Below are 20,560 nucleotides of genomic sequence, written 5' to 3'. Positions count from 1 at the left end.
ATATTGTGCAAAACCGTCTATGAACCAGGCCCAAGGTTTCTGTAGGGCCTGTTGATTGACCATAGGAAACTCACCATGAGGCCATCAGTGTAAGGTAGTGTAGCATGAGTGGGGACCACGGACATTTGGGTCACTTCTTTATGTAATTTACTAGTGTTTTCAGGACCTGCTTGAGCCTGATCTCATATGTATGCTTTCAATTTTACAATGAAGTGCTCTGCACATACCCCGTTTTATAGCTTAACAGGTCAGACTACATCCCCTTTATGAGGGGCAGCTCAGGTCACATGGTAACTTGGTGGCCCATGGTTAAGCATTCAATCTTTAATAAGGCCCAGGAGCAAGCCCAATGCAGTTTTCAAAAGAAGCTTAGGTGTCTGAAGAAATGGCAGGGCTTTGCTCCAAAATTCTAAGAGTCTTCGCTGTGATTCACCTAGAGGGCCCTGGCAAAGGGCCTGGCCCTAAACAGAATCCCTGTCTGCCACTGACACCTCAAGAACCATTAGAGCTGCTGGATCCTACGGCCCAAGTAGCAAAACAGCTTGCACAGCAGCCTGGACCTGTTGCAGAGCCTGCTCTTATTCTGAGTCCCCACTCAAAGCTAGCAAGTTTCTTAGTCAATGAGCTAGAGTAACACACCCAAATGAAGAATACGCTGCTGCCAAGATCCAAAGGGGCCACTAGACATTATGCTGCTTTTCTGGGCATAAAGGAAACGAGGTACAACAATTTATTCTTCATCACAGAAGGAAATCTCAACATGCTTTACACCACTTGACCCTAGAAATTCCACTGAGGTAGAAGACCCCTGATTATTGTCACATGTATTTCTCATCCCTTGGCATGTATCCATTTTATCAATAAATGTGGAAATGCCAGAGATTGTCAGCATACCCCCAGAAGCTAGGAGAGATGCATTGAAAAGATTTTCCCATAGAGAAACCAACTCAAAGTTTTTAGGCTTTTTCCCTTAAAAGACCCGCTCTGCCAACACCTTGACCTTGGACTTCTAACCTTCAGAATTGTGAGAAAATAAATGTTTATTATTTAAGCCACTCACTCTGTGGTCCTTTGTTATGGTAGCACCAGTAAACTAACACACCTAGATATTCAAATTTGTAGTCGCTTTATTCATTTATAGCCACTTTATTCATAATGTCAAAAACTTAAATATCCTACATATCCATCAGTGATTAGATTAACAAATTATAGTATATCTATATGGTGATATGCTGAGACAAGTAAGATGTACAACTACTGATAGAACATTAAACATAGATGAATCTCAAAAATATTATAATGACTAAAAGAAGCCTTACACACACAAAATAAATATGGAAAGGGTACATTGCTACAAATATCTAGAACAGTTATAATTATACGAAGCAGATCATTGGTTGCCAGGACTGGTGAAACTCAGGGAAAAGGAGCACTGTGGAACTTTCTGGGAGGATGTACGTGTTCTGTCTCTTCATAAGGAGGTGACTACATGGGTGAATACATTTGACAAAATTCTTATAACTCTACCCTTACAGTGGTTACATTTTCTTGTATATAATCACACTTGAGTAAAACTGATTAAAAATATAAACAATGTAAAATGTTCAAATATTTATATGCATAAAAGATAAGCTTCACAAAATTTACAGGTTAAAAAGCACTTATACAGCAATGATTCTATTGTTCTTCATAACCACATAAGATAGTTACATTTCTTAAATCCTGCTTTGCTGAAAAACTAGATCTCGGAAAGATTAAGACATCTGCTGTGGCTTATGGTGAACCACCAGAAGACATTGATGCTCTTGGATTTCAACGTTCCTTCTACCAATCAATACTGTTTATTAACCTATTGCTTGCCCCTTCTCTGATAATTCCAGATTGTTACTCAAATTAAAATTAATTTTATTACAAATAAGGTATTTATATCATAAAACAGCTACAAAGGCAGACGAAAAGTAAAAAATTTTGTCATTTTCCTAAAATTGGCTAATATCTACAGGACTGACATATTTTGACAGAATGACTTTTCTAGAATTGCAAAATTTCTATTGTTTCCCTTCCGCACATTAAAATCACCACAAGAGGGCATAAGAATTCGTTGAATAGAGAGGCAAAATGTGTATACAGCAAATGAGTTATCTGGAGTCCACCTATTGATTAATGCTTGTCAATGACTAAAAGGTCAGTACAGGTTGAAAATCCCTAATCTGAAGATCTGAAATGCTCCAAAATCTGAAACTTTTTTTTTTTTTGAGACAGGGTCTCACTCTGTTGCCCAAGCTGGAATGTGGTGGCAAGATCCTGGCTCAGTTCAGCCTCAACCTCCCAGTCTCAAACAATCCTACTACCTCAGCCTCCTGAGTACCTGGGACTACAGGTGTGCACCACCACACCTGGCTAATTTTTTAATTATTTGTAGAAACGAGGTCTCACTGTGTTGTGCAGTCTGGCCTCAAACTCCTGGGCTCAAGAGATCCACCTGTCTTGGCTTCCCAAAGTACTCGGATCACTGGCATGAACTGCATCACCAGCTTAACATCTGAAACTTTTTGAGCACTGACTTGAAATAGTGACACTTCTGCTTTCTGATGGTCCAATGTGCGCAAACTCTGTTTCAGGCATAAAATTATTTAAAATATTGTATAAAATTACCTTCAGGCTATTCAGATAAGGTGTATATCAAACATAAGTGAATTTTATGATTAGACTTGAATCCCATTTTCCAACTCTCTCATTATATGTATGGAAATATTCCAAAATCCAAAAATAAATCTGAAATCCAAAACACTTCTGGTCCCAAGCATCTCATCTAAGGGATACTCAACTCGTATACTGTAACTATACAAAAAAATATATAATGAATGCATTGTCAATTAAGGCTTTTGTCTCCAAATTAGGAAGCTGGCATATCATTAAAAAACTTCTTGGGAAAGAAAGCATAATTAGATGGATTATTTTCCAGTTTGCTTGAATTTTAAAACCAGAAACTACACATCCACCTTCGGTAGAGATAACTAGTCACAGGTTAAATTAACTAGTGTGTTGCAAACAAAATATAAGCACAAGTTTATTTTCAATTTTTACTAATATTTGAACAGAATCCTTCGATTCTCTGTTGGCTAGAAAATTGAAAAAATTGACAATTATATATGCTTCATTTCATCTTTTTTTATTTTGTGACACTTTCAATTTCTCTTCTCAGAAAAGCCAATGTCAAAAACTATTAATTTTTGAACTATTACTGCAAGTTTATATGCAAAAATATCCAGTACATAGAAAAAGAAAAATTGAAGTAAATGTCAGGTTAGCAAAGGGTCTGGTCACTGGTCTTACACAGTTTATTGAGTAGATTACACCTCAAAGATGAAATAGGTAATTGGATGGGGAGATGTTGGCATTTGAAATTTGGTGAGCAGGCTTGGAATTGAAGATTCTTGGACATATATTTGTGGAGACTTATTGGTAACCAAAACCCAAATTCTGTAAAATATTTAAAGAGGTTGATTCTGAGCCAACATGACTTACCATGGCCTGGGATACACTCTCAGGAGGTCCTGAGAAAGTGTGCCTGAGGTGGTCAGGTCACCGTTTACTTTTATACATTTTAGGGAGACAGGAGTTACAAGCAAAGACATAAATCATTAAATGGAAAGTGCACATCGGTTCAGCTTAAAGAGGCAAGATCTTGAAGCAGGAGAGAGCTTACAGGTCATAGGTAGATTCAAAGTTTGTCTGATTGGCAATTGGTTGAAAGAGTTAAGCTTTGTCTAAAGACTTAAGAAGTCAGTAGAAAAGAATGCTTTAGCTAAAATAAAGGGGTTGTGGAAACCAAGGTCTCTGTTATGTAGACAAAGTCTCATAGATGGAATCCCTCAGACAGTGTGTGATCTACACCAGAGTCAGGTTGGAATTGGGACTCTTATTGCCACAATCAGTCTATTTCATCAGTCTTATGACTCATCCTGGTCACTTGTGCATAAACTCCAAAAGGGAAGGGGTATAACAAGGTGTGTCTCACCTCCCTTCCTATCATGGCCAGAATTCAGTCTTTCAGGTTCATCTGAGGTCTCTTTGGCCTAGAAGAGGGTCCATTCAGTTAGTCAGGGGGATTAGAAATTTATTTTCATTTTACATTATTGTCCTAAGAAAGTTTTTTTTATCACCTCCATGTCCTCAAACTTTACAAGCAAAAACACATAGAATATTTTAGGTCATTGTGTCAATTTCTATGATTTCACCTAAGCCACAGAGATGCCACATATCAGAGTTGCCTAAGGATATATAATAAGATAATATTTCTAAACTTTAGCCAGAAAGGAATGTTTCATGCACTGCTCAGGGTGAACAACTTCGCCAGAGTCTGCTATTCTGCATTGTCTTCATTGCTGGAAGGTGATAAAGCAGCTTGAGGATTTTAGTGTGGAAACACAACTTCATAATCATGCTCATGGGTGCAGGAACAAGGCCTACTAACAGAAGTCCTAAGAAGGGCATATTCTGTCTCTGACCTTTCTCTAAACTGTCTCACTTTCCTTGTGAGGGAGTCAATGTTCTCATAGCCATCATCATTGGAGCTCAGGGAGGATCTCTGATGGGGGATGTGATTAATGACAGTGTAGCACACTTCTTCAGAACCACTGCCATTCTCGTTTTCCTGCCAAGCACAAAGAGAAAAGAAATCAAGGATCCACGGTCATTCATAAATTGAACTCAGTGTACTACCTTCCCTTCTTCTTTATACACCTGATGGTGCTCTTACACTTAAGGTATCCAAAACCCAAGCATTCCTGTACACCAATAATAGACAAGCAGAGAGCCAAATCATGAGTGAACTCCCATTTACAATTGCTACAAAGAGAATAAAATACCTAGGAATGCAACTTACAAGGGAAGTGAAGGACCTCTTCAAGGAGAATTAAAAACCACTGCTCAAGGAAATAAGAGAGGAAACAAACAAATGGAAAAATATTCCATGTTCAAGGATAGGAAGAAGCAATATCATAAAAATGGAAATACTGCCCAAAGTAATTTATAGATTCAATGCTATTTCCATCAAGCTCCCCGACTTTCTTCGCAGAACTAGAAAAAACTACTTTAAATTCCATATGGAACCAAAAAAGAGCCTGTTTAGCCAAGACAATCCTAAGCAAAAAGAACAAAGCTGAATAGGAACAGCTCCAGTCTGCAGCTCCCAGCAAGACCAATAGAGAAGGCGGGTGATTTCTGCATTTCCAACTGAGGTACCCAGTTCATCTCATTGGGACTGGTTAGACAGTGAGTGTAGCCCACAGAGGGTGAACAGAAGCAGGGTGGGGCATCACCTCACACAGGAAGTGCAAGGGATTGGGGAACTCCCTCCCTTAGCCAAGGGAAGCCATGAAGGACCATACCTTGAGGGACAGTGCTATCCAGCCCAGACACTACACTTTTCCCACGGTCTTTGCAACCCACAGACCAGGAGATTCCTTTGGGTGCCTACACCACAAGGGCCCTGGGTTTCAAGCATAAAACTGGGTTTCAAGCACAAAACTGAGTGGCCATTTGAGCAGACACCAAGCTAGCTGCAGGAGTTTTTTTCATACCTCAGTGGTGCCTGGAACACCAATGAGAAAGAACTGTTTACTCCCCTGGAAAAGGGGCTGAAGCCAGGGAGCCAAGTGGTCTTGCTCAGTGGGTCCCACCACCATGGAGCCCAGCAAGCTAAGATCCTCTGGCTTGAAATTCTTGCTGCCAGCACAGCAGTCTGAAGTCGACCTGGGACATTCGAGCTTGGTGGGGGAAGGGGCATCTGCCATTACTGAGGCTTGAGTAGGCAGTTTTCCCCTCACAGTGTAAACAAAGCCGCAGGGGAATTTGGGCTGGACTGAGCCCACTCCAACACCACAAAGCCACTGTGGCCAGACTGCCTCTCTATATTTCTCCTCTCTGTGCAGGGCATCTCTGAAAGAAAGGCAGCAGCCCCAGTCAGGGGCTTACAGAAGGAAAGGCTGTGGGTGCAGCTTCAACGGACTTAAACATTCCTGCCTACCTGTTGGCTCTGAAGAGAGCAGCAGATCTCCCAGCACAGTGCTCAAGCACTGCTAAGGGAAAGATGGCCTCCTCAAGTGGGTCGCTGACCCTCATGCCTCCTGACAAGGAAACACCTCCCAACAGGGATCGACAGACACCTCATACAAGAGAGCTCCAGCTGGCATCTGGCAGGTGCCCTGCTGGGACAAAGCTTCCAGAGGAAGGAGTAGGCAGCAATCTTTGCTGTTCTGCAGTCTCCACTGGTAATACACATGCAAACAGAATCTGGAGTGGATCCCCAGCAAACTCCAGCAGACCTGCAGAATACGGGCCTGGTTGTTAGAAGGAAAACTAACAAACAGAAAGCAATAGCGTCAACATCAACAAAAAGGACAACCACGCAAAAACTCCATACAAAGGTCACCAAGAGCAAAGACCAAAGGTAGATAAATCCACAAAGATGAAGAAAAAGCAGCTCAAAAAGGCTGAAAATTCCAAATACCAGAATGCCTCTTCTCCTCCAAAAGATCACAACTCCTCGCCAGCAAGGGAACAAAACTGGACGGAAAATGAGTATGTCAAATTGACAGAGGTGGGCTTCAGAAGGTGGGTAATAAACTCTTCCGATCTAAAGGAGCATGTTCCAAGCCAATGCAAGGAAGCTAAGAACCTTGAAAAAAGGTTACAGGAATTGCTAACTAGAATAACTAGATTAGAGAAAAACATAAATGACCTGATGGAGCTGAAAAACATAGCACGAAAACTTCGTGAAGCATACACAAGTATCAATAGCCAAATTGATCGGGCAGAAGAAAGGATGTCAGACATAGAAGATCAACTTAATGAAATAAAGCATGAAGACAATGTTAGAGAAAAAAAAATGAAAAGGAACAAACAAAGCCTCCAAGAAATATGGGACTATGTGAACAAAGATCAAACCTACATTTGATTGGTGTACCTGAAAGTGACGGGGAGAATGGAATCAAGTTGGAAAACACACTTCAGGATATTATCCAGGAGAATTTCCCCAACCTGGCAAGACAGGCCAACATTGTAATTCAGAAAGTACAGAGAACATCACAAAGATACTCCTGAGAAGAGCAACCCCAAGACACATAATCATCAGATTCACCGACGTTGAAATGAAGGAAAAAATGTTAAGGACAACCAGAAAGAAAGGTTGGGTTACCCACAAAGGGAAGCCCATCAGACTAATGGCGGATCTCTCTGCAGAAACCCTACAAGCCAGAAGAGAGTGGGGGCCAATATTCAACATTCTTAAAGACAAGAATTTTCAACCCAGAATTTCATATCTAGCTAAACTAAGCTTCATAAGTGAAGGAGAAATAAAATCCTTTACAGAGAAGGAAATACTGAGGGATTTTGTCACCATGAGGCCTGCCTTACAAGAACTCCTGAAGGAAGCACTAAATATACAAAGGAAAAACCAGTACCACCCACTGCAAAAACAAACCAAAATGTAAAGTCCATTGACACTATGAAGAAACTGCTCAACTAATGAGCAAAATAACCAGCTAGCATCATAAGGACAGGATCAAATTCACACATAACAATATTAAACTTAAATGTAAATGGGCTAAATGGCCCAATTAAAAGACACAGACTGGCAAATTGGATAAAGATTCAAGATCCATCAGTGTGCTGTATTCAGGAGACCCATCTCACATGCAGAGACACACATACACTCAAAATAAAGGGATGGAGGAAGATTTACGAAGCAAATGGAAAGCAAAAAAGAGCAGGTGGTGCAATCTGATAAAACAGACTTTAAACCAACAAAGATCAAAAGAGACAAAGAAGGCCATTACATAACGGTAAAGGGATTAATGCAACAAGAAGAGCTAACTATCCTAAATATATATGCACCGAATACAGGAGCACCCAGATTCATAAAGCAAGTCTTTAGAGACCTAAAAAGAGACTCAGACTCCAACACAACAATAGTGGGAGATTTTAACACCCCACTGTCAATATTAGACAGATCAACGAGACAGAAGATTAACAAGGATATTCAGGACTTGAACTCAGCTCTGGACCAAGTGGACCAAATAAACATCTACAGATCTCTCCACCCCAAATCAACAAAATATATATTCTTCTCAGCACGAAATAGCACTTATCCTAAAATCAACCACATATTTGGAAGTAAAACACTCCTCAGCAAATGCAAAAGAACAGAAATCATAACAAAAAGTCTCTCAGACCACAGTGCAAATCAAATTAGAACTCAGGATTAAGAAACTCACTCAAAACCGCAAAACTACATGGAAACTGAACAACCTGCTCCTGAATGACTACTGGGTAAATAATAAAATGTAGGCAGAAATAAAGATGTTCTTTGAAACCAATGAGAACAAAGACACAACAAACCAGAACCTCTGGGACACAGCTAAAGCAGTGTTTAGAGGGAAATTTATAGCACTAAATGCAAACAGAAGAAAGCGGGAAAGATCTAAAATCAATACCCTAACATCACAATTTAAAAAACTAGAGAAGCAACAGCAAACAAATTCAAAAGCTAGCAGAAGACAAGAAATAACTAAGATCAGAGCAGAACTGAAGGAGATAGAGACATGAAAAACCCTTCAAAAAATCAATAAATCCAGGAGCTGGTTTTTTTGAAAAGATTAACAAAACAGATAGACCACTAGCCAGACTAATAATGAAGAAAGACAGAAGAATCAAATAGACACACTAAAAAATAATAGAGGGGAGACTACCACTGATTCCACAGAAATACAAACTACCATCAGAGAATACTATAAACATTTCTACACAAATAAACTAGAAAATCTAGAAGAAATGGATAAATTCCTGGACACACACACCTTCCAAGACTAAACCAGGAAGAAGTTGAATCCCTGAATGGACCAATAACAAGTTCTGAAACTGAAGCAGTAATTAATTAGCCTACCAACCAAAAAAAGCCCATGACTAGATGGATTCACAGCTGAATTCTACCAGAGATACAAAGAGGAGCTGGTACCATTCCTTCTCAAACTATTCCAAACAATAGAAGAATAGGGACTCCTCCCTAACTCATTTTATGAGGCCAGCATCACCCTGATATGAAAACTTGCCAGAGACAAAACAAAAATAGAAAATTTCAGGCCAATATCCCTGATGAACATCAATGCGAACATCCTCAATAAAACACTGGAAAACCAAATCCAGCAGCACATTAAAAAGCATATCCACCACGATCAAGTCGGCTCCATCCCTGGGATGCAAGACTGGTTCAACATACACAAATCAATAAACGTAATCTATTAAACAGAAAGAACCAATGACAAAAACCACATGAATATCTCAATAGATGCAGAAAAGGCCTTCGATAAAATTTAACACCCCTTCATGCTAAGAACACTCAATAAACTAGGTACTGATCAAACCTATCTCAAAATAATAAGAGCTATTTATGGCAAACCTACAGTCAACATCATACTGAATGGGCAAAAGTTGGAAGCATTCCCTTTGAAAACCAGCACAAGAAAAGTATGCCCTCTCTCTCCACTCCTATTCAACATAGTATTGGGAGTTCTGACCAGGGCAATCAGGCAAGAGAAAGAAATAAAGGGTATTCAAATAGGAAGAGAAAAAGTCACATTGTCTCTGTTTGCAGATGACGTGATTGTATGTTTAGAAAATCACATCGTCTCAGCCCAAAAACTCCTTAACCTAATAAGCAACTTCAGCAAAGTCTCAGGATACAAAATCAATGTGCAAAATTCACAAGCATTCCTCTACACCAATAACAGACAAAGAGAGCCAAATCATGAGTGGACTCCCATTCACAATTGCAAATTGTGTTTTATTCTCTTTGTATTCACAATACAAAGAGAATAAAATACCTAGGAATACAACTTACAAGGGACGTAAAGCACCTCTTCAAGGAAACTAAAAACCACTGCTCAAGGAAATAAAAGAGGACACAAACAAATGGAAAAACACTCCATGCTCATGGATAGGAAGAATCAATATTGTGAAAATGGCCATACTGCCCAAAGTAATTTATAGATTCAATGCTATTCCCATCAAGCTACCATTGTCTTTCTTCACATAATTAGAAAAAAAGCTTCTTTAAATTTCATATGGAAACAAAAAAGTGCCCATATAGCCAAGACAATCCTAAGCAAAAAGAACAAAGCTGGAGGCATCACGCTACCTGACTTCAAACTATACTACAAGGCTACAGTAACCAAAACAGCATGGTACTGCTACCAAAACAGATATATAGACCAATGGAACAGAACAGAGGCCTCAGAAATGACACCACACAGCTACAACCATCTGATCTTTGACAAACCTGAGAAAAGCAAGCAATGGGGAAATGATTCACTATTTAATAAATGATGTTAGGAAAACTGGCTAGCCATATGCAGAAAACTGAAACTGGACCCCTTCCTTACACCTTATACAAAAATTAACTCAAGTTGGATTAAAGATTTAAATGTAGGACCTAAAACCATAAAAACCCTAGAAGAAAACTTGGGCAATACCATTCAGGACATAGGCATGGGCAAAGACTTCTTGACTAAAACACCAAAAGCAATTGCAACAGAAGCCAAAATTGACAAATGGGATCAAATTAAACTAAAGGGCTTCTGCATGGCAAAAGGAACTATCATCAGAGTGAACAGGCAATCTACAGAATGGGAGAAAAATTTTGCAATCTATCCATCTGACAAAGAGCTAATATCCAGAATCTACAAAGAACTTAAACAAATTTACAAGAAAAAAACAACCCCATCAAAAAGTGGGTGAAGGATATGAACAGACACTTCTCAAAAGAAGACATTTATGCAGCCAAAAAACATAAGAAAAAAAAGCTAATCATCACCAGTCATTAGAGAAATGAAAATCAAAACCACAATGAGATACCATCTCATGCCAGTTAGAATGGTGATCATTAAAAATCAGGAAACAACAGATGCTGGAGAGGATGTGGAGAAATAGGAACGCTTTTACACTGTTGGTGGGAGTATAAACTAGTTCAACCATTGAGGAAGACAGTGTGGCAATTCCTCAAGGATCTAGAACTAGAAATACCACTTGACCCAGCAATCCCATTACTGGGTATATACCCAAAGGATTATAAATCGTTCTACTATAAAGACACATGCACTTGCATTTTTATTGCAGCACTATTCACAATAGCAAAGACTTGGAACCAACTCAACTGCCCATCAATGTTAGACTGGATAAAGAAAATGTGCCACAAATACATCATGGAATACTATGCAGCCATAAAAAAGAATAAGTTTATGGTCTTTGCAGGGACATGGATGAAGCTGGAAACCATCATTCTCAGCAAACTAACACAGGAACAGAAAACCACACACTGCATGTTCCCACTCATAAGTGGAAGTTGAACAATGAGAACACATGGGCACAGGGAGGGGAACATCACACACCCGGGCCTGTTGGGGTGTGGGGGGCAAGGGGAGGGAGAGCATTAGAACAAATACCTAATGCATGGGGGGTTTAAACCCTAGATGAAGGGCTGATAGGTTCAGCAAAGCACCGTGGCACATGTATTCCTATGTAACAGACCTGCCCATTCAGCACATGTATCCCAGAACTTAAAGTAAAAATAAATAAATAAATAAATAATAAAATATATATAATGTAAGAAATGTTTCTAGAAAAAAAAAAGCCCTTGCTCCAAGCCCTGGTGTCTTAGAGACCTCATTATAGCAGCATAAACTGCACTCCAAGCTTCTACTAATTGTGCTTTAATTTTACTTGAATAATAAAAGAGAAAAGAAGGATGCTATTATGCCTCTAACTATCCAGGGAAAAGCACTTCTATACTTTCGTTCACACACACTGAGATGCAATGTTTGCAACAATCAGACCTCAGTAAGTAATGAATAAGTAATTATTCATTATAATTTTTATAAGATAAAATACTAAGAAAAAATTGAGTTTATGCACATTTTCAATTGCATAGACAGTGAAGGAAAGAAAAAATAAAAACATTAATATATACTAATTAAATCAACAAAATTTTTATGAGGTAGTATCAAAAGGAATAAACTTTTTTCCATATGTTATAGTTTCCACCATACTTGTCAATGCAAATGCTAATTCCTGGATATAAGGATTGAAAGGGAATGTGGAAAGCTAAAAATAATTAATGTTTTATGGTGGTCAGTTTTTAAGTATAAATTTACTTAATTTCATCTGTTTTTGTTATAATAGCTTTGAAAATTAAAATAATAGGCTGGACACAGTGACTAATGCCTGTTACCCCTGCACTTTGGGAGGCTGAGGCCAGTGGATTCACTTGAGGCCAGGAGTTCGAGACTAGCCTGGCCAACATAGTGAAACCCTGTCTCTACTAAAAATAAAAAATTAGCCAGGTGTGGTGGTGCACACCTGTAAAGCCAGCTACCTGGGAGGCTGAGGCACCAGAATCACTTGAACCCAGGAGGTGGAGGTTGCAGTGAGCCGAGATCGTGCCACTGCACCCCAGCCTGGATGACAGAGTGTGACTCTGTCTCAAAAAATAAATAAATAAATAAAATTAGACTTCAGCAGAATTGAGGCCAAAACGGTAAGAACTTGCTACTCATCTCGATCAGTTGAAATACTTTTTGGTTTTTTATTTCCTTTCATTTCTGCATTACAATTGCCATATAAATTATTTAAAATATGAATGATTTCTAAAAGTACATTTAGAAATTACAAATAAAGGAAGACAGATGCTACTCTTGAATAAATCATCTGTATTTTGGCATTTATCAGACAAACATAATAAAAGTTTGTGTTTTTCTTTTGTCTTGCTTTTTGTTTTCTACTTACCTGATTAGAAGTGGATGAAACTTCTTGGCCTGGAGAATTAAAAAAAAAAAAAAAAGAAAGAAAGGAAAGCACTGTGAGACTTTTGCCCCATCACAGATTGAAGGAAAAGGTGAAAAAAACAGAATGTAGAAGTCATAAAACTGCAGAGGCCTATTATCTAAACATCTGACATGACATTGCCCCATCTTATAACTGAAGTTCTCAAGACTGAGTGAAAAAATCAAGAAAGAACATGTGTTCTGAGATAGCATCAATAGTATGTTCTTTCTGTAAATAAAGCACATTAATGTACTGAATAAGATGGATTTCAAAATTTGGTAATAAAATGTTCATAAATGTGCTATGTCAATGCAATATGATAAGCATAAAGAAAGAATGATTATAGCTGCAAATTTAAGATATAAATTTTATGTAACTATCACAGGAAAATCATACAATTCTTTAAAATGAACACTTGCTATAGAGATAGGTACAGAAATAACACGAGTAACTATTTCAAGTTACACACAAATATGCAGATTCATGTTGATTCCATCTGTGAATGCTGAAGCAATTTACATACGTGTGAATCTGAAATTGACTACCAATTTTTTTTTTTTTTTTAGACAGATTCTCGCTCTGTCGCCCAGACTGGAGTGCAATGGTGCTATCTCGGCTCACTGCAACCTCCGCCTCCTGGGTTCAAGCGATTCTCCTGCCTCAGCCTCCCAAGTAGCTGGGACTACAGGCACATGCCACCATGCCCAGCTAATTTTTGCATTTTTAGTAGAGACGGGGTTTCACCGTGTTAGCCAGGATGGTCTCAATCTCCTGACCTCGTGATCTGCCCACCTCGGCCTCCCAAAGTGCTGGGATTACAGGCATGAGCCACTGGGCCCAGCCGTCTGTTCACTCTTGTTAGTTATTTTTGCTGTGCAGAAATACTTTAGTTTAATTAGATCTCATTTGTCCATTTCTGCTTTTCTTACAATTGCTTTTGATGTCTAGATCATGAAATATTTGCTCATTCCTATGTTCTGAATGGTATTGCCTAGGTTGTTTTACAGGGTTTTTATAATTTTGGGTTTTACGTTTGGGTCTTTAATCCATCTTGAGTTAATTTTTGTATATGGCGTAAGGAAGGGGTCCAGTTTCTATCCTCTCCATATGGCTAGCCAGTTAACCCAGCACCACGGATTGAATAGGAAATCCATCCCCATTGCTTGTTAGTTAGCAACGTAGTATTCTTCATTTGAAATTTGCTAAGGGAATAGATCTCAAGTGCCCTTATGTCCCCACATTCATACAAGATGGTAGCTATGTATAGTGATGGATATATTAATTTGATGTAGTAATCATTACACAATGTATACATATATCAAATCATCACATTGCACACCTTGAATATAGGCCATTTTTATTTGTCAGTTATACCTCAATAAAGTTAGGGGTAAAAATAAACAGAGAGTTTCCTTTAGGTATACTTGTCCACAGGGGCTGAGCCCTGTTATTCATAACTGTCGATTTTGAGTAATTACATGATTACTATACCTAGATACTATGGCAAACAGAGCAAATTCTTTTTTTTTTTTTTTTTTAAGACAGGCTCTTGCTACATTGCTCAGGCTGGACTCTTAATTTCTGGCCTCAAGGAATCCTTCTACTTCAGCCTCCCAAGTAGCTGGGACTACAGGAGTGCACCACCAGCTTCTTTCAACTTCTTGAGAACAAAATAATACACTTTTTAGGGGCCGGGCATGGTGGCTCACGCCTGTAATCCCAGCACTTTCGGAGGCTGAGGCAGGTGGATCACGAGGTCAGGAGTTTGAAACCAGCCTGGCCAACATGGTGAAACCCTGTCTCTACTAAAAATACAAAGATTAGCTGGGTGTGGTGGTGTCTCCCTGTAATCCCTGCTACTCAGGAGGCTGAGGCAGGAAAATCACTTGAACCCGGAAGGCGGGGGGTTACAGTGAGCCGAGATTGTGACACTGCACTCCAGCCTGGGCGATAGGGTGGGACTCCATCTCAAAAAAAAAAATACACTTCTTATCGCCTGCTAATATTCAAAGGCCCTATTTTAGAACACCAATATACAAATTAAAAACAGTAGAATTTTGGTTAACTTCTTTCCACAGAAGTTTCTTAAATGTCACTCAAAAAATAATATACAAATATTACTTTAATACCAAGAATGATGTGATCAGTTTTATGAAAGAGTAAGAACTCCAAGCAGCCTCTTCTCCAATCTGTTATTACAATAGGCTCAAGAGTGTCTGCTAATTGGATGCTTAAATTTGCACTTCCCTACTATGAAAAATATTATACAGCCATGACTTACTTTTCTTATCTTGATCTTGAAGTTTTCTTTCAAATGTAGTCATTTCCTGCCTACAAGGAAAGAGATAGTAACATGAGATACTCCAGGTTCTCCAAAGCTGAAAATGCCTTTCAAAAAAAGCATTTGGTTGCCCTTAACCTAAGGCCATTGTTAGATTTTCCATGCAAATATTAAATACAATTAAAAGGCTGCTTACTCCAGCCTTTTTTGAAAAACCACAAAAATCTAGACAATGAAAAGTGGAAAACAAAGCTCCATATAGCATGAAGCTAAGAGAATTATTAGCTTATCAGACTACATATATTATTACACGCATGGAAAACATACATATAATATAATGAAATTTAGGACAATTCAAGAGAGAAAATGGAAAGTTTTGAAATTTATTTTTCTGCTATTCTTGATGAGGGTGTATAAATCCTTAAAGACAAATGAGAGGGTCTTACGAATTCTAACTAAAACCTTACAGTAATAGACATTAATAAGTGTGGTGGCCGGGTGGGATGGCTTATGCCTGTGATCCCAGCACTTTGGGAGGCCAAGGCGGGCAGATCACGAGGTTAGGAGATCGAGACCTTCCTGGCCAACACGGTGAGACCCCGTCTCTACTAAAATACAAAAAAAAAAAAAAAATGAGCTGGGTACGGTGGCATGCACTTGTAGTCCCAACTACTCGGGAGGCTGAGGCAGGGGAATTGCTTGAACCCGGGAGGCAGAGGTTGCAGCGAGCAGAGATCATTTCACTGCACTCCAGCCTGGTGACAGAGCGAGTCTCCATCTCAAAAATAAAAATAAAAATAAATTAAAAAAAAAATAAGTGTGGGCCAGTGATGAAAGAAATAGAGATTATTTTTAAAGGGACACAATTTACACAATAAAGAGGATTCAAAGGCGGTAGGGAGGAGATGGGGTTGCCAGCATATCACCTTTTATTTCTCTGTCAGTCAGACTCCTAAATTTAAGGGGAAATATGAAAAAAGGATATAACTTGTAATCAGCTGCCTGCCTCAAGGACAGCTAGGTACACAGTAGAGAGATGTGCCTGGGCTGAGGGAAAAACATTTTGTGAGGAAGCATTCTAAAACGACATGCCACAATCACTGCCTGGATTTTGCAACAGAGCAGAGACCCCTCTTGGAAGTCTGTCTGGCACTGCCAAGCAAGGAAATAAAGGAAAGTCGTGAGTTTCTTCGAGGGAAATTCCAGGCACCCAGCCAGCCCTGAGCAGTAAATAAGGAGCCTGGGAAGCAGGAGGAAACCTGGACCTCCACCACATGCATCCTCTGGCACACGGACCTCAGGCACGGGCGCGCTGAGGACTGAACTCCCAGCGCCATACTTTGTCTAAATTTCTTCCTGAGGAGCCTGAGAAAGTCATGCCCAGGAGCCAGACCTTAGCGTTCCTTACTCATGGCTCCATATTCTCAGACAAAGCTTTGCTTCCTTAAACAATTGCAAATCAAAGAATCTTTCATTCCACCTATGACCCGTAAGGCACCCTTCCCCCTCAGCTTCAAGGTATCTCAGCTTTTTAGGCCAAACAAACTATAATCTCCATGTATTTATTTACAATTTTGCCTGTAAATTCTGCTTTCCTGAAATTTACCCCTGCCTTTAAAAACCCTTGATTGTAAGCCATTGAAGAGGACAGGTCTTAAGCCTGAGGGATCCATTCTCCTTGCTTGGTGACCTGCAAATAGACGCCTCCTTGGTCCTGCTGCAACCCTCCGTGTGGATGTTTTTGGCTTTGCGGCGCCGGGTGAGCCGCCCTCAGTTTGGTTCAGTCACAGCCATAGCTTGTTTCTCGTCTGCACCCTCCTTAAACACACACGCATACACGCAATTTTATCTCACAAATGATCTACTTTCATTCAGAGTACTAAGCACAAAGTTACAAAGATGAAATGCGTAACAAAAGCAAAACAAAAGAAGCAGAAACAATATTTTAGAAGCAGAAAAATAACATGTTTATTATTGTTAATAGTTATTAACAATAATAAATGGAGAAGGAAAATGGACTGGCCTAAACCAGGAAAACAATTATAGAGAATAACATTTTTATATTAAATTAAAGCAACATTAATGGGAGAGGAAAGAATCAAGAGAAGTTAGCTAATGGGTACAAAAATATAGTTAGCTAGAACAAATAACTCCTAGTATTTGATAGCACAGTGAGGAAAATTATAGTTAATAATAATTTATTGTATATTTCAAAATAGCTGGAAGAAAAGAATTGTAATGTTCCCAAGACAAATAAAAGATTGGTGTTTGAGTAGATGGATATCACAAGTACTCTGATTTAATCATTACACATTGTATACATTTATCAAAATATCACATGTACCCCCCAAATATGTACAAGTATGCTCTATCAGTTTTAAAAGTAGGCCAGGTGTGGTGGCTCATGCCTGTAATCACAGCACTTTGGGAGGCAAAGGCAGATGGATCACTTGAGCCCAGAAGTTTGAGACCAGACTGGGCAACATGGCAAAACCCTGTCTGTACAAAAAAGTTGTATATTAGCCAGGCATGATGGTGTGCACCTGTAGTCTCAGCTACTTGGGAGGCTGAGGTGGGAGAATTGCTGGAACCCAGGAGGCGGAGGTTGCAGTGAGCCGAGATCACGCCATTGTACTCCAGCCCCAGTGACAACAGTGAGACTTGGTCTCAAAAAAATAAAAAATAAAAATAAAAAAAATCTAAACAAATGAAACAAAAGTAGAATGAGAGAAAAGTCATAAAATAAATACTTAAATCTGAAAACCGACTTCACAGGGGAAAAAACAAATGGCATGGAACACTGAGATATGGTGACTATAGTCAGTGACAACGTGTGCTTGAAATTCGCTAAAAGAGTGGATCTCAAGCATTCTCATCACACACAAAAATAATGGTAACTGTCTGAGATAATAAATATATTAAGTTGTTAATGTACTTATAGTGGTAATCACTTCACCGTATATACATATCAAAACATCATATTGTGTACCTTCAATATGTACAATTTTTGTTTTTCATTCATAGCTCAAGAAAGGTGAGAAAAAAAATTAAAATAAAGACATATGTATAAAAGAAAATAATACATGTTTGGGGGTGGGGGTAGGGAACAAATAATGAGTTTTCAAACTTTCATGGGGAAAATGTATGTAAAACCAAGTCATCAGGAAGGCGGCTTAAGGTGGCTCAGCTCCACAGCTGCAGAGTGGAATTACGTTCACTAAGTTGTGAGGAGAAAGATACGATCCAAGAACTGTATTACTCTCCAAGGAAAGAAGATGTGTTCTCAAATGTCTTAGTACTGAGATAATCTAAAACCTACGAGGTCTTTAGGAAAGAAATAAAGCAAACATTACTGCACAACCACATTTGGACTTTGTAAAATGTGAAGTTATGTAACAAAGCAGCTGGTGAATGGGGAATTCAGCCACTCAGTTATCTGTCGTTCCGAGGCTCCAGCCACAAAATCCAAACCTATCTAAGTCCGGGCTGTGGATTATCAGCACCTACTGCTTGTCCACTCTCTCTTAAATACAGTGGAACAATTCTGCATGCTGTGGCCGCTGGAAATGTCCAGACAGTGGCAGGAATTCCTGGATTTCTAAGAATCCTCTTAGATTTTCTTGACATCTCTCATGAACTAAATTATGTCCCCTTAAAATCCACATGTTGAAGTCCTAATCCCCAGAACCTCAGAATGTGACTGTATTTGGAGATAGGATCTTAACACAGGTAATTAAATTAAAACAAGGTCATAAGATTGGGCCTTATTTCAGTATGACTGGTGTCTTTATAAGAACAGAACATTTGAACACAGTCGTAACACAGAGGGAAGACAATACGAAGACTCAGGGATAAGACAGTCATCTACAAGCCAAAGACAGACTTCACAAAACAGCCCACCTCTGCCAACATGTTGATCTCAGACTTCCAGTCTCCGCAATTGTGAGAAAGAAAATTTTGGTTCTTTAAGCCACCCAGTCTATGGTACTTCGCTATAAGAGCCTTAGTAAATGAATATAGATAGATATATGGGAACTAGACTAGGCAATACTAATGAAACAGGACCTCCCTCTATCCTCCCTATCCGAGAGGAAGCTGCCTGCAATGTCCCTGGGTGTCCTTGATCTCCCGTCACAGGGACCTTCTCACACTGCGGAAGATGAAGATTTTAGCAAGGCCGTCATTTCAGAAAAAAAAAGCTGGACAGAAGATGGCATGATAAAGATTAAAACCGACAAACACCTAATACTGTCATGAATTGCTACACACCAAACTATTTAGAATCCATATGAAAGAAAGAAAAAGAAAACATGAAAGGTAACTCAAATAAACCAGTAGATTAATTTCTCTCAGCTAATAACAAGCAGGAGAAATAATGACAGTGAATATCTGAAATACACAATAATGTTTCTCTAGCAGACAAATTTCAAAATTATGATCTCTGAACAAAATATTACATAATATATTTTCAAAATCTAGGCACATAATGATGTGCACAGATACCAGCTAGTATGTATTGAGTGTTGGTGCCAGACAGCCATCGTGCTGATGAAATAGGCAGTGATTTCTTTTTCCATAAACACAAGCTAAAATTGTAGTATTTTAAGGCTATTTTGCATATGAAGAACCCAAAATTTAGAGAATGTAAGTAACTTGTCTCAAAGTTAACATATAGGACAAAGAAGACTTTAATAAAATCTATAAAGCAGAAATAACACAGACCACACAGATACTGGTAACAAATAAAATTTAAATTATATTCAAGACTATAAAACAATATTTGAAATTTAAAAACTACTCAGGTCCAAGAATAAATTAAAAGTTGCAAAATATTAGACAATAATAGTATTTCCTTCAATTACACATAGGATACAGGTAAAATATTATTTAGAGGGAAAGTTTGTATTCATATATGCTTCCATTCCTAAACAAGAAAAGTTGAGAACAAAATTATTGAGTTTTGAATTCAAAACAATTAGAATAGCAACAATTTAAAAAACTAAGGAAAGCAAAAATAAGAATGCAATAAAGATAAAAGCAATGATACTATGACATCCTGGAAAAAATGCAAAACAGAAATCAGATCAGTGGTTGCCAGGGGTTGAAGGGAAAGGGAGGGTGGTGGAAATATTCTGTATCTTGATTGTGGTGACTACATGACTGAGTATGTTTTTCCTAAACTTATCAAACTGTATATATGAGAAGGGTGAATTTTACTGTACTATACCTCTATAAGCCTACATTTTAAAAGTTAAGTGACTTGAAAGAGCTCATACTGTCCTTTCTGTAAATATGTTTAAATGAATAATATTCTGATAAGAATCCAATAATCAAAATTGACTCAGGAAGATGTAGAAAATCCAACTTTATTCAATAGACATCATCCTGTGAAATTAGCCA

General features: G+C 38.7%; 1 protein-coding gene and 1 long non-coding RNA gene across 12 annotated transcripts in view; one reads left to right on the top strand and one right to left on the bottom strand.

The window, feature by feature from the left end:
* LOC102724446 (uncharacterized) overlaps positions 1-13,161 on the top strand; it is a 75,216-nt gene extending 62,055 nt beyond the window's left edge. For both annotated transcript variants that reach the window (NR_188589.1, NR_188590.1), the window contains exon 3: positions 12,849-13,161. This is a non-coding gene — a long non-coding RNA (uncharacterized LOC102724446). The remainder of the gene's footprint in view (positions 1-12,848) is intronic.
* GCSAML (germinal center associated signaling and motility like) overlaps positions 1,110-20,560 on the bottom strand; it is a 70,633-nt gene continuing 51,182 nt past the window's right edge. For all 10 annotated transcript variants that reach the window (NM_001281853.1, NM_001281834.2, XM_047447035.1 and 7 more), the window contains 3 exons: positions 15,161-15,210; positions 12,841-12,869; positions 1,110-4,657 (listed from right to left, as the gene is read on the bottom strand). In NM_001281853.1, coding sequence (NP_001268782.1) covers positions 4,418-4,657; positions 12,841-12,869; positions 15,161-15,210 — 319 coding nt within the window. In that variant the 3' untranslated portion in view covers positions 1,110-4,417. The remainder of the gene's footprint in view (positions 4,658-12,840; positions 12,870-15,160; positions 15,211-20,560) is intronic.

This window comes from Homo sapiens, chromosome 1 (genome assembly GCF_000001405.40).
Source record: "Homo sapiens chromosome 1, GRCh38.p14 Primary Assembly".
Classification (NCBI taxonomy): domain Eukaryota; kingdom Metazoa; phylum Chordata; class Mammalia; order Primates; family Hominidae; genus Homo; species Homo sapiens.
The sequence above is the reverse complement of the archived record's forward strand: the minus strand, read 5'-3'. Positions and strand labels throughout refer to the sequence as shown.